The 13,075-nt window shown below is 35.3% G+C and overlaps 1 annotated feature.

Moving 5' to 3' along the window:
* Nucleotides 6,045-6,546: an enhancer, noted in NCBI's record as "NANOG hESC enhancer chr11:81154282-81154783 (GRCh37/hg19 assembly coordinates)". NCBI's record gives its function as "activates a minimal SCP1, AML or CMV promoter by ChIP-STARR-seq in primed H9 embryonic stem cells {active_cell/tissue: H9 hESC(primed)}" and the evidence as "EXISTENCE:reporter gene assay evidence [ECO:0000049][PMID:30033119]".

The raw sequence follows: 13,075 nt of genomic DNA, 5'->3' as shown, positions 1-13,075 counted from the left end.
TATGAGTACCTCATGACCTCATCTAAACCTAATTGACTCCAAAAGTCCCCGTCCATCTCCAAATACTATCTCACTGGAAGTTAGGGCTTAAATATATTAATTTGGTGGGGTGGGACACATAAGTTATTTCATAGCCACAATGTTTATTTTGGTTAGTAAATTGCTCAAGGATACTCAGCTAATAAGTGCCAAGTTTCATTTTAACTCAGCCCCACCTAACCACATTGCCTTTTCTATTGCATTTTATTGTCTTTTATACATGGCAAAGGAGATGAAGTAGAAAACTTCAGCATGAGCAAGATTAGCTACCATGCCTTTTAGCAGATAAAGGGGCTCCACCACCCAACAAAATGTCTTGGACATCTTCTATGTATCAGAAAGTGTGCTCAGTGTTTGGGATAGGACAGCAAACCAGGTAGTCCATTTTCCAGCATTCTGCAAGAAGCATAATGTCCCAAAGAGACTGAGGGTTATGTAGGTTAATTGTAGTTTTATGTAATCCTTGCAGGAGACTTTCAGTGTTTGATAATGGCAATGAAAACACAGGAAAAAATACTTATTACCTTTTATTTTTCTTCTGTTATACAGTGTCATTGCATCTCCTAAACTGCTCTCACCAATTCTTTCATAACTGTGAAAAATTACCAAAACAGAAAAGCAACATTTTTTTTTTTCATATTCTGGAGAGGTTGGGAAAATTTACTGGATTCAGCTAGGAAGCTTTATTGTTCAATTTCCTCCAGATCCTCCTTCTTCCTTTCTTGCAAGAGTGAGCACACAGATCTACTCTGTTGTTCTGTATTTGGGAGTATTTTGACACTGAAATGTTTCAGTTGTTTCACATAAATCTCTCTCACCCTTTTAATACTAGTTCAGAAATGCAACTTCATCAGTCCTGAAGCTGAAAGAAAATAGAAAAAGAAGAATGTCATAGCAAGGATTAGGAAGATAAAGTGTAAAATCAGCTCATTACTGAGTTTCTACAATAGCCTCAGCACAGTTCTAGGTAATGAAAAAGAACAAAAGAGACACATCTATTCAAAAACGGAACAGTGTTAAACGCACTCAGTGTCTTATGCCCTCAAAACTCACAAAGACTCACAAGCTAGGCATTTCTATCTTATTTTAAATATAAGGAAACAAACATTTTGAGAATAGGTAAGTTATTTGTCCTAGGTCATACAGCTCCTGGGATTCATAGTCATGTTTTATCAAATTGGGAATGAGTACATAGGGCGAGGTGATGACAATATTTACCCTGACTTAAAAAAAGTCAGATATATTTCAGTAGTTGAAATGGACGTTCATAATGTAACATTAAATACAAAGTGTTTTATGGTAACAATTGCTAAATTACATAATTTGGACTATAAGTGCTCTTAAAATTAAGAGGGAAGGAGAAGGTATCAGGGATTAATGAGTCTTAAAGTTGGAGTCAGCAAAGTAGTTGTCACTGAGGTCTTGAAAATCAAGGTGATCTTAGGATGAAAACTATGTTGGCAAGCAGAGTATAGGGTGTCTGCAGTGGTTGCAACATCAAGAGGGAATGAAGGGCGTTGAGCATAAGGGTAGCATGTTGGCAATGGAGAGACTTTGCCCCTTAGCCAAAGGGTGGACTCAAGTACCCAGGATCACAGTGAATGAAGTTCTGTGTCTTCTACACAATCCACTTCCAAATAGACTGACATTTTGATATTCTTGCTTCTATAGACACATTCTACCTTAGCTGTGTTCTGGGTCAGTATTCTCTTAACCATTATCTGATCTAGGATGTTAGGACTCCTGGTTGTTACATTTGTATAGTATCAGCCAGCAAAATCTACCTCCTGTAAGAAACAGCTTATTCTTTAAAATAGAGATCATCTTATTCTTTAAAATAGAGATCATCCTTGTTTGCTGATGCATTACTCTCATCGTTCTTCAATAATTACCCATATGTTAAGAAAGATTTTGAGTGCGATTGGCATTCCTGTCTTAATTATTGTCTGTGGCAAATAATTTTTCATTATTCGGATGACACTGTATTTCCGGGTTCTGATGAGTTGTTTGTTCTGGATTGATGCATTGCAATTTTGCAAGAAGTTGCGAAGTTGAATTGCAAATTGATTTTAAAATAACTTAAAAAATGCATTCCAAGCAGCATAATGCTCTTAGGGGATAATATTTACTTGAAAGCGTCATAGGAAAAAAAAATATATATATATATTTGTTGCCATTTAACTATAAATGCTAATTGATTATTCACAAGTAGGTCATCTGTCTTCCAATCCCTACACACTAACTGTTTTGTCAAATTAACTTTCAGAAACTTGTTTTGTTTTAACATTTTATTGACTGTCCATCCAATTCATTGTTTATACTGAAAAAGAAAACTTACCTAACAGGTAGGTAATATTGAAAATAAAATTCTAAGCAGTGTTCCAACAAATATATAATTGTAGTCTCTGAATAGATCTTAATTCCATTGAGAAAACAAGCATGTTTTTTCACATTTGTTTGACTATACTTTTCAGAACCGACCTTTATTTACCTAATCCCTCTGTCCAATGAGATAAAGCAGAGAGGTATATCAATTAAATCAAAACTGGTTTCTAACTTCTTATGCTTATAGACAGTTGTGCCAGATTAAGTTCTGTTCATAAACTCAGTTGATGTTTCTAGGGGGATAGGAAGGATGCCAACCTTTCAAGAGTATACAAAAGCAGAATTTAACTTGCATCCAGTACATAGCCTTCTTTCTCCTCCATGGAGGAGTGTAAAGTGATTTTTGTCAGAATTTCATCATGGAGAAATAGAGAAAACTAAGGAAAAGCAGGATTATAACAATCAGTTTACATAGTCCCAGTTCACCATCTTGTCTTAGGAGCACCTGCTTAGCCAACATATATTTAGCAAGGGCCTGAGATGTAACACACATCTTGCCATAGCTAGAGTGCAAAACCAAAACATGAACTCTCATTACTGTGGCTTCTTCTCTTACTGTAAAGTGGTTGGTGCATACACTTGATCTGGTATTTAAAAAATGGTGGGAGAAATGTTGGTTGAAAATATAGCTTTGAGCCATACTTTATTGCATCTCAAATGCCATTCTAAAGAGAATTATTTATTCTGCAATAGAGATACAGAAAAATATTTATTCTGTTTTACACACATACACACACACACACACACACACACACATGCAAGTCTATTTACTGATCACCTATTATGTGTCATGTCTAAGCTGGGCTCTGTCTGTATAAGATGAATTATAAAAGACCCTGGTCTTCACTGAGCTCATAATCTCAGGTGAGGCAGGAGATAGTATATATATACACATACATAGCAAAAGTTTCAATCTTCCTCTATCTGTACCGCCCCTCCAACCCCACATTCCAACAAATTATCATGCCACATCCATAGAGCTGTTACACCCTCTATCTGGATGGTCTGAATAGATGGATTTTCTTGTAGTCTTTCCCTTTACCAACCTTTCCACGCAGTTCAAGTTATAAAACCAAAATATTTCTCATGTGTTTCAAAATGTTGCCATGGCTTCATATTACACTTTCAGTAAAATCTAAATCATTTGCCTTGGCTTGCAAGGCCTCAGGATATTCAGATCTTGTGAACTTCACCAGACATTTCTGGCCACTTACAATACTCATTTCTTGAGCTACAGTCTCACTGAGATCTCTGTAATTTCTCAACCACATTAAGCTCTTTTCCACCTCCAGTTATTTGTAGGTGGTCTCCTTCTGCATTGAACTCTGTCTCCTTGGTTCTTTGCCCAGGTTCTACTCATATAACAAGCCTTGGGTTCAAAGTCATAGCCTCAGAGAACACGTCTTTGGTTAACACTAATAGGTCCACCTTCTATTCTGTTAATTCTGTCATTGAACTCAGGCCACTTCTTACATGTAGTCATCCCAGTTTATCTTCACACATGTGTGTGTCTATGTTTTCAGTGTTTGTCTGTACCACTAATTTATAAGATTCAGTAGATATGAGCATTTTCTCTTTCATTCCCTAGTTTTTACCCAGGAAAAGCATAGGCACTTAATAAATAACTCTTTTTTTAAAATTATACTTTAAGTTTTAGAGTACATGAGCACAACGTGCAGGTTTTTTACATATGTATACATGTGCCATGTTGGTGTGCTGCACCCATTAACTCGTCATTTAATATTGGGTATATCTCCTAACGCTATCCCTCCCCCCTCCCCCCACCCCACAACAGGCCCCGGTGTGTGATGTTCCTAATAAATAACTCGTAAATTGATTATGTAAAGAAGTGATCATTTAATGAAGTTGCCTTTTTGCAAAACAAGAAAACATAGAACTCTGCTTGTTACATCATCTTTGTTTCTTGCTCTCTCATTCCTATTTTCAACCTTAGGAAAAACCAGGAACCCAGGAAATTTAAAATTTGGTTTAAATCAAGTATATTTAGAGAAGGGTCTAGATAATGTACCACCTAGAAAAGTCCTGCCTAATAGAAATATAATGTCAGAAATATATACAAATTAATTTTTTAGTAGTCACATTAACAAAAATAAAAAGAAACACGAAGAATCAACGTTAACATATTTTAATTTATTATATATAAATATTTTAATATGAAAATTAGTATAAAATTATTAAGATATATAGTTTTTCTTATTAAATCTTTGAAATCCAGTGTGCATTATACATTTATAATATATCTTAATTTGTATGCTAAATTGTCATCACAGATACTTTATCTGCATTAAAATTTTATAAAATTTACAGTTGAAAAAGTAGGTTCACATGTCAAAATTATTCCAAATGCACTCACAAGATTTCTAATAATTAATATGGTAGCAGTCTTTACAGCTAAATTAAAATTAATTAAAATTAAGTTAAATTAAAAATTCATTTTCTTAGTCTCACTAGTCACTTTTCAAGTATTCAGTAGCCACATGTGAGTAACTACTACCATAGCAGATGGCAAGATTGAAAGTAGGAGAGTGCAAATGCATGTGTGTACATTTTTTTTCTGAAGTTATACAGAGTGTAACATTCTAATAAAAGATGTTTATCTTTTACACACTTACAGTAACAGGGCCAGTTTTGTTCTCTGGTAAAATGCCTAATGAAAGTGATTGTGATGATGAACCAGCATTCAGAGAGTTATACTATTTAATAGTAAGAGTCTTGAAAAGACAATTGCTTATTGATTGATTCAAATCAGATGCCTAAGATTCTAACACACCAGATAAGCATTATTTGAGGTTCTGTTCCCCGAATTCTCTGCTGTTGTCTGCTCAACCACCACTGAGTGTCACTGTGGGCTGAGAAGCCCATCAGAAATCAACAACTAAGAGAGCCACCTGAAATGAGAGGAAAAGGGAATGAAATGAATGATGATCTTTTTATTCTCCAGGGTTTCTTTGCTTCTCTCTTCACTTCTGACACTAGTATACTTCTAAATCCATGACAAGTACATGAGGAAAATTAAATCAGAGCACAAAACCACTAAGGAACAGCTCAGTAGATAAATATCACCTATCTTTGAGGAACCTGAAGTTGCCATAATGGTCAATGCGGAGTTGATTAATGTCATGAAAATAAGATTTACTCCTTTAAGGCTATATCATTAGCATCAAAAAGAAGGCCTTACCTTTGATGCCTTTTCTGATAAATGGCTATTATTTTTATTAGTTTGCTTATCTGTTGCGGGAAGTCAGGGACCCCAAATGGAGGGACCTGCTGAAGCCGTGACAGAAGAACATAAATTGTGAAGATTTCATGGACATTTATCACTTCCCCAATCAATACTCTTATAATTTCCTATGCCTGTCTTTACTTTAATCTCTTAATCCTGTCATCTTTGTAAACTGAGGATGTATGTCGCCTCAGGACCCTGTGATGATTGTGTTAACTGCACAAATTGTTTGTAAAGCATGTGTGTTTGAACAATATGAAATCTGGGCACCTTGAAAAAAAGAACAGAATAACAGTGATGTTCAGGGAACAAGGGAGATAACCATTAGGTCTGACTGCCTTGGAGCCAGGCAGGACAGAGCCATATTTCTCTTATTGCCAAAAACGAGTAAGAGAAATATCACTGAATTCTTTCCCCAGTAAGGAATATTAATAATTAACAGCCCTGGGAAAAGAATGCATTCCCGGGGGGGCCCTCTAAAATGGCCACTCTGGGGGTGTCTGCCTTATGCAGTTTCAGATAAGGGATGAAACACGCCCTGGCCTCCTGCAGCACCCCCAGGCTTGCTAGGATTAGGAAATTCCAGCCTGGTGAATTCTAGTCAGACTGGTTGTCTGCTCTTGAACCCTGTTAAGATGTTTATCAATGACAATGTGTGCACAGTGGGACATGGAACTTCATTAGTAATTCTAGTTTCACCCTGACCTTGTGATCTCACCCTGACCTTCGGCCTTGTGAACTTTTGTTGCCCTCGAAGCATGTGATCTCTGTGACCCACACCCTATTTGTACACTCCCTCCCCTTTGAAAATTGCTAATAAAAACTTGCTGGTTTTACGGCTCAGGGGGCATCACGGAGCCTGCCAACATGTGATGTCTCCCCCGGACACCCAGCTTTAAAATTTCTCTCTTTCGTACTCTTTCCCTTTATTTCTCAGACCAGCTGACACTTAGGGAAAATAGAAAAGAACCTACATTGAAATATTGGGGGATGGTTCCCCCTATATCTGGCGCCATTTTGAAGAATAGGACTTCTGATTTTTGATATTGTTGTTATTCCCTTTTTAATGGTAATCATTTATAAATGTAAATTACAGGGCATACATATTTTAATTACTTGGAAAAGAAGATCTGGAAGTTGTACTATATGTATGAAATATATACATTTAATTTAGCACAATTTTTGATTGAAAATTAAATATAATTCTGTACTTTCTGTTAGATTTGGTGAATATGAAAAGCAAAGATTCCATACTCAGCTGTTATTGTTAGACATAGGCAAATATATGCTAGTTTCAAAAGAAGTAAACATCTACAAAATTCAAATGTGTAAGTAATATTTTAATCTGGGGATTTATATATTGGGAAACTATGCAAGGAAGAGTGTCTGATGGTCACTACAGAAATAATCTAGGAATATTCTTCCAGTGGCATTTGCTTATACTGAATCAAAAGGATAACATTAAAATGGAAGTCAAGAAAGGTGCTTTTGTTGGCATTAAAACTCGTAAAATTGAGAAACAGTTTTTTTTTTTATTTGTTTATTGATTTTGTTATAGTTTTGAATATATGCTTCCAGACTTTTGGAGGAGGTACATGATAAATATATTGCTAATCATCAAATATATATTTTCCTTAACCTTTTCAAATAATTGTTTCACTCAAGAGTGATCAAATGAGAAAAGTAGCTGAAATGTATTTCTCTCTCTTTCCTTTAAATCTCAGCAGTTTGAGACCCTGAAAGAGTGAGAATCTATCAATCCAAAATAACCCCACCTTAGGGAGACAAAGTGACACAGAAGCAAACAGACATGCTTCATATGGCAAACACATGGAGACCAAGATTAGTAAATACTCTATCTGGCTATAATTGTATCTGTGTCCACAATGGAGGATGAGGAGAGGTGAATTTCACAATGATAAAATAGAAAGCTTCTAAATTTTGGTTGTTTGGAAAGTGGGGAACATCTTCAAGTATCATCAACTAACTACTGAATACTTACTACATCCTCAGCATCTGAACATCACTTTTTAATCATCCTCACCATAGCTGTGTGAACTAGGGATGGTTAACTCCAATTTATATGTAACAAACCAAGATTCAGAGAGGTTCTGTAATTAATCCAAGGTTTCACAATTAGTAATTGTTGGAACCAGGATTTATTCTTGGGTCTGACACCAAAGATTTTCCTGTTAACCAGTACTCCAATTCTAGTTCCCTATATTAATTTAGATAGTTCCATATAGGAAGGCATTTGCCATCAGCATATGACCATTATCTTAAACAAGTATTAGAAAGATGGACTAACCTACGAAAATAGAAATTTCTGTTGATAGGCTGCAGAAAAGAAACTCCATCAACTTACTTCTCTCATTTCTCTTCAACACTACCTTTAAGCTCAACTTATTGAAACTTCTAAGACAACATTTTCATGTATTATATGAATTTGATAATATACATTTTATAAACTTATTGTGAAAATGAAACTTACTACTTCTAAAGCAACTACCAAGGCTTATCACATCAAGAGTTCTCAATACATGGTACCTTTGATTGTCTTCTTAAATCACTTTCTTAACGGTGCCTTTCTTGAGAATCTAAAATGACTAAGTACAGATATTTTAATTCAGGCATTACCAATTCCTGTCTATAAATCAGTTTTATTTTCCATTTGGAATGTTACAGCTTCATTTTGTTAGAAGCAATTGAACAATTAATTGTCTTTCTATGTATGTATGTGTGTATGTATGTATGTATGTATGTATGTATCTATCTATCTATCTGTCTGTCTGTCTGTCTGTCTGTCTATCTATCTATCTGTCTATCTATCTAACTATCTGTTCTCTTCACCCACCAGTTTTATTCTTCAAGAGATTTCAGAGGGCTTTTGGTTTGGAGATTTAACAGTTTTCCAATAAAGACAAGATTCACTAATTTTGTTGTATATATTTAACATGTATGACAGGGTATTCTGATATATATGTATATAGTGAAATTATTACTACAGTCAAGCAAATTCACATATCCATCACCTCACATAGTTATCTCCATGCGTGTGTGTTTGTGTGCGTGTGTGTGTGTGTAGTAAGAGCACTTAAAAGCTCTCAGCAAATTTCTATTATACAACACATTATTATTGACTACAATCCTCGTGATGTATGTTAGATCGCTATACTGATTTATCCTATATAACTGCAATTTTCTATCCTTTGAAAGATTAGCTAAATTTATTTGTTTGCTTGTTTTTTTCTCAGTATCATGGTGACTAATAGAAAGGTAGAGCCGACCACTTGTAAAAGTTGCAGAGATTGGAAGACACTGGAAAGTAATGATGTGTCTATAGGGTCATGCTGTGGAGTACAGAGAACGGTAATTCCAGAAAGAAATGGAGTGATCGTTACACAGTGTCTTTAACAGCAAGTACTCAAATAAGATAATAAATGGCAAGAGATTAGCAATGAAGTCCTTTCCTTGGAACTGTGAAAGTTCTCGTAAAATATGCTGTATCATCTTTACATCCAATGTGTCTGTAATGTAGAACACATGATAATATAAATAAATTCTAATCTGGATAAACAGTACACTGCACTGTGAGTACATTATCATTAGTGTACACAGGAGGAGTGGGAAGAGCAGGGAGAAATACAGCATTTGTTGAGGAGTTTTCTTCAGAGCTTGGTAATTAATGCATTCTCTCTCAATGTTAATTCCCTTTTACTTAATTCTCTGAATCACTCTGTGATATGGTTTGGCTGTGTCCCCACCCAAATCTCATCTTGAATTGTAGCTCCCATAATCCCCATGTGTTGTGGGAGGGACCCAGTGACAGGTAATGGGAGTGAGTCTTTCCCATGATGTACTCATGATAGTGAATAAGTCTCACATGATCTGATGCTTTTCTAAAGGGCAGTTTCCCTGCACACGCCCTTCCACCTGCTGCCATGTAAGATGTGTCTTTGCTCCTCTTTTGCCTTCTGCCATGATTGTGATACCTTCTCCAGACCTGTGGAATTGTGAGTCCATTAAACCTCTTTTTATTTATAAATTACTCAGTCTTGGGTATTTCTTCATAGCAGTATGAAAATTGACTACTACACTCTATAAAATCAGTGGTAATATTCCCATTTTAGAGATGAGTAAAATAAAGATAAAAAATAAGACATATTCACAGGAATATATCATTAGTAAGTGGTAGAGTTTCAATATAAAGTCTTGGTCCATTTATTCTACAGCCATATTCTTTACAATACTCTAATGGCTTTCAAGTATATGTTTAACTTACAAACTTTTTTTCAAGTAAAATATTTCACAGAAACATTTATAAGACAGATAAAAGCGCTGCTTCTCTGTTTGGTGCAGGGGTGAGGATCCTGATGGGCTGCCCTCTCAAGCCCCATCCCTCACCTCCTCATGACTCTTGATCCACATCTGTAGCTTTTCTGAGAGTTCTGTAGAGCACAGTTTAAAGATGAGGGTATCACATCATATGTACTCTCAAACAGATCACAAATTCTTGAGTTCTTTGCTTACATAGCCATATGACTTTAGATAATTAAATAATGTCTTTGCTTTAGAATTGTGCATCCTAAAATGAAATGATTTTTAAGTGGAAAAGAAGCAGTACAAATAATAAAAAGAAACTTGCCTGAGGGTACATTTGGAATATTATAAAACTTGCACTATGATAGGTGCAAAGACTTCTAGGTAGTTGTCTTTTGGGCCAGGATATAATACAGAAACTATTAAGCCACTCTTCCTCTTTCTTTAGTAGGTGTTCTCTTTTATTTTAAGAACTTCAACTAAACCTTCAAAATACCTTCTTTCTCTTTCTAGTATAATATTAATAGTAGAATGTTGGCTTGTTCCTTACACCTCACAAGTCAACTGAATCATGGAGACATCTAACTTCCCTGAGTACTTTGATTTGCAAAATAATACGTTTCTGGCAATTGAATCTCCAGCTATTTTTTTGTGGAGGAATACTGCATCCCAGCTAGCTGTACCCCACTGCTCATGTTTGATCTTCACGGATTTCTTTGCAGGCTGGAGAAAGGGAGAATTCTCGATGCCCTTTGTGCCCTGAACAAAGGAGATAGCATAGACATCTTCAAACTAGTTTCTAGATCTACAAATATGAGTGTACAGGCTGCCCTTTCTTACTCTTGTCTTCTTCCCAGAGTGTTCAGGGCTGTTCCCAAACAGAAACTGTTTTCCTCAGTCTATTTATTACAGTGTCTCTCCAATTACCAGATATCCAAGAATGTACAGGGATTCGTCTATAGATGCCTCTTTGACATAATACGTTTAATCCTCAATTTGACCAAATCTATTGCAAAACATATTCACTTATTATTACAAGAAAACACGGGTACAATCTAAGGAGACCTCACCCTGGGGTTTTCACGAAGCCATACTCTTTGCCCTAATGTCTATCTGAGAATAAGCAAATCAATGCTGGTCAATGAAAAAAAAAAGTAAAAGGATCAATTTATTAATTGTAATTTAAAAATCTATAAAGAAAGAGAGGGAAAAAGAGAAGAGGTGGGAAACTGAACTGTATTGAATATCTATAATGCATTAGTCATTGTGCTATATATAATAGTCAATAAAAATGGAGAAAGAGTTACGCCTATACAATTGCCACAAAAGTTGTACTAAGTTCCCATCGCCTGTGTCACCATAGCATTACATGCATACATCAATTGCAGTACCTGTTATGCTGAACCTAAACTGACAGTCTTTCCACATTTCTTTTATTTCTTAATTGACACTTAATAATGATACATATTTATGAGGTACATTGTGATATTGTGATGCATATAATGTATAGTGATCAGATCAGTGTAATTAGCTCAGACATTTATCATTTCTTTATGTTGGGAACATTCAATATTCTCCTCCTGGCTATTTGAAACATTATAATATATGCTGTGAGTTCCTCAAGAGCTTATCCACCTATGTTAGCTAAAACCACCTATATTAGCTAAAAACCTATCATTGTACATTCTGTTACCCTGAAGTGAAGTCAGAAGGAAACTAGACAGAAGTGTTTTGCAAACCTCCGTGTTGCATACCCTCCCCCCAAGAACCAGCTACAATTCCAGGTAGACAATTCATAACAATGACAGACGTATCACTTACATTGCAAATTAAGTCTTCTGTACCTCTATCAATAATAGTTAGTAATCAGTTCCTATAGATAACTGCTAAGGTGCTAAGGTCTTCCCTTAATCAGTCTAGATTTTTATCTGTAAAGGTTAAGTTTTTTGCCCTTAACAGAATCTTTTATGGACAAACATTATATGCAATCATCTCTGTTGAAAATCATTCTCATATATCAAAATATATAGAAATATATGTTTATATTCCAGTTAGCCACATTTCTAAAATTTTGTTACTATATTTATTTATTGAATGAGAACTTACTGAGTATAGAATATTATTATTCTCCTCTGCCTTGGGAATATGAGTAAAGGAAAAGGAAGACTAAACTAAAAGACAAGTAAGAGATATGTTCCAGTAAAATGACAATAACAAAATATTGTGCTACAGATATAAAACAGTTGCTTTAGAGACATAGAGTGAAGGAATACTAAATTAGACTAATGACTCAGGAAAGGTCTTGAGGAGGTAAAACTTGAGTGGAACAGAAATTTTCCGTGGTAATTACATAGATATTCTAGATAAATAAAAGTGCCATTGCTCTGAATGACTAGAACCAGGAATCGCCATTTTAGAGAGATTAGTCTAGAAATGTCAGATATGTTTTTAAAATATGCTACTTCAATGATAAAAGCATACCTAAGAATAAGAGTAGTATCATCTTGGAATTAGATATTATTAGCTTTCCATTAGTAACATATATTTTGGGTATTTTCCCCAAGAAAAGGGATTTATTACCCGAGAAAGTAAAACCTAAGAATAAGAGTAGTATCATCTTGGAATTAGATATTATTAGCTTTCCATTAGTAACATATATTTTGGGTATTTTCCCCAAGAAAAGGGATTTATTACCCGAGAAAGTAAAACTCTTGGCTCATCACATAAGAATTTCTAAGATACTCAGAGAAAGACTTGTAATTTGGGAGAGGGGTAGGGTTTTGCTCTGGTTTTTCTTTATTCAATGATTCCATGTTGATGTGTAGAAATTGTGTAGGTTTTCCACAATCTGTTGAGCAAGGAGACAAGCCCTGTAAAGAAATGATAAGAGTCTAATGCAAAAGTACCTATACTAGCATCATGGTGGAAAGTTAAAATTTAGAAAGAGAGGCACTATAGAAAAATGTAAGAATTCAATGAAGTGATTCTTTTTCCCAGTTGTTTATTAATTACTGTTTGTGGAATTGTGAAAACGGCATGTGATTGGCACCGTGGAAACCAGGACGCGGGGGCTGGTGCAACCCCTCA

Source organism: Homo sapiens, chromosome 11, assembly GCF_000001405.40.
Source record: "Homo sapiens chromosome 11, GRCh38.p14 Primary Assembly".
In the NCBI taxonomy this organism is placed as follows: domain Eukaryota; kingdom Metazoa; phylum Chordata; class Mammalia; order Primates; family Hominidae; genus Homo; species Homo sapiens.
Note: the sequence above shows the minus strand (reverse complement) of the source record. Positions and strands in the feature narration are given on the sequence as shown.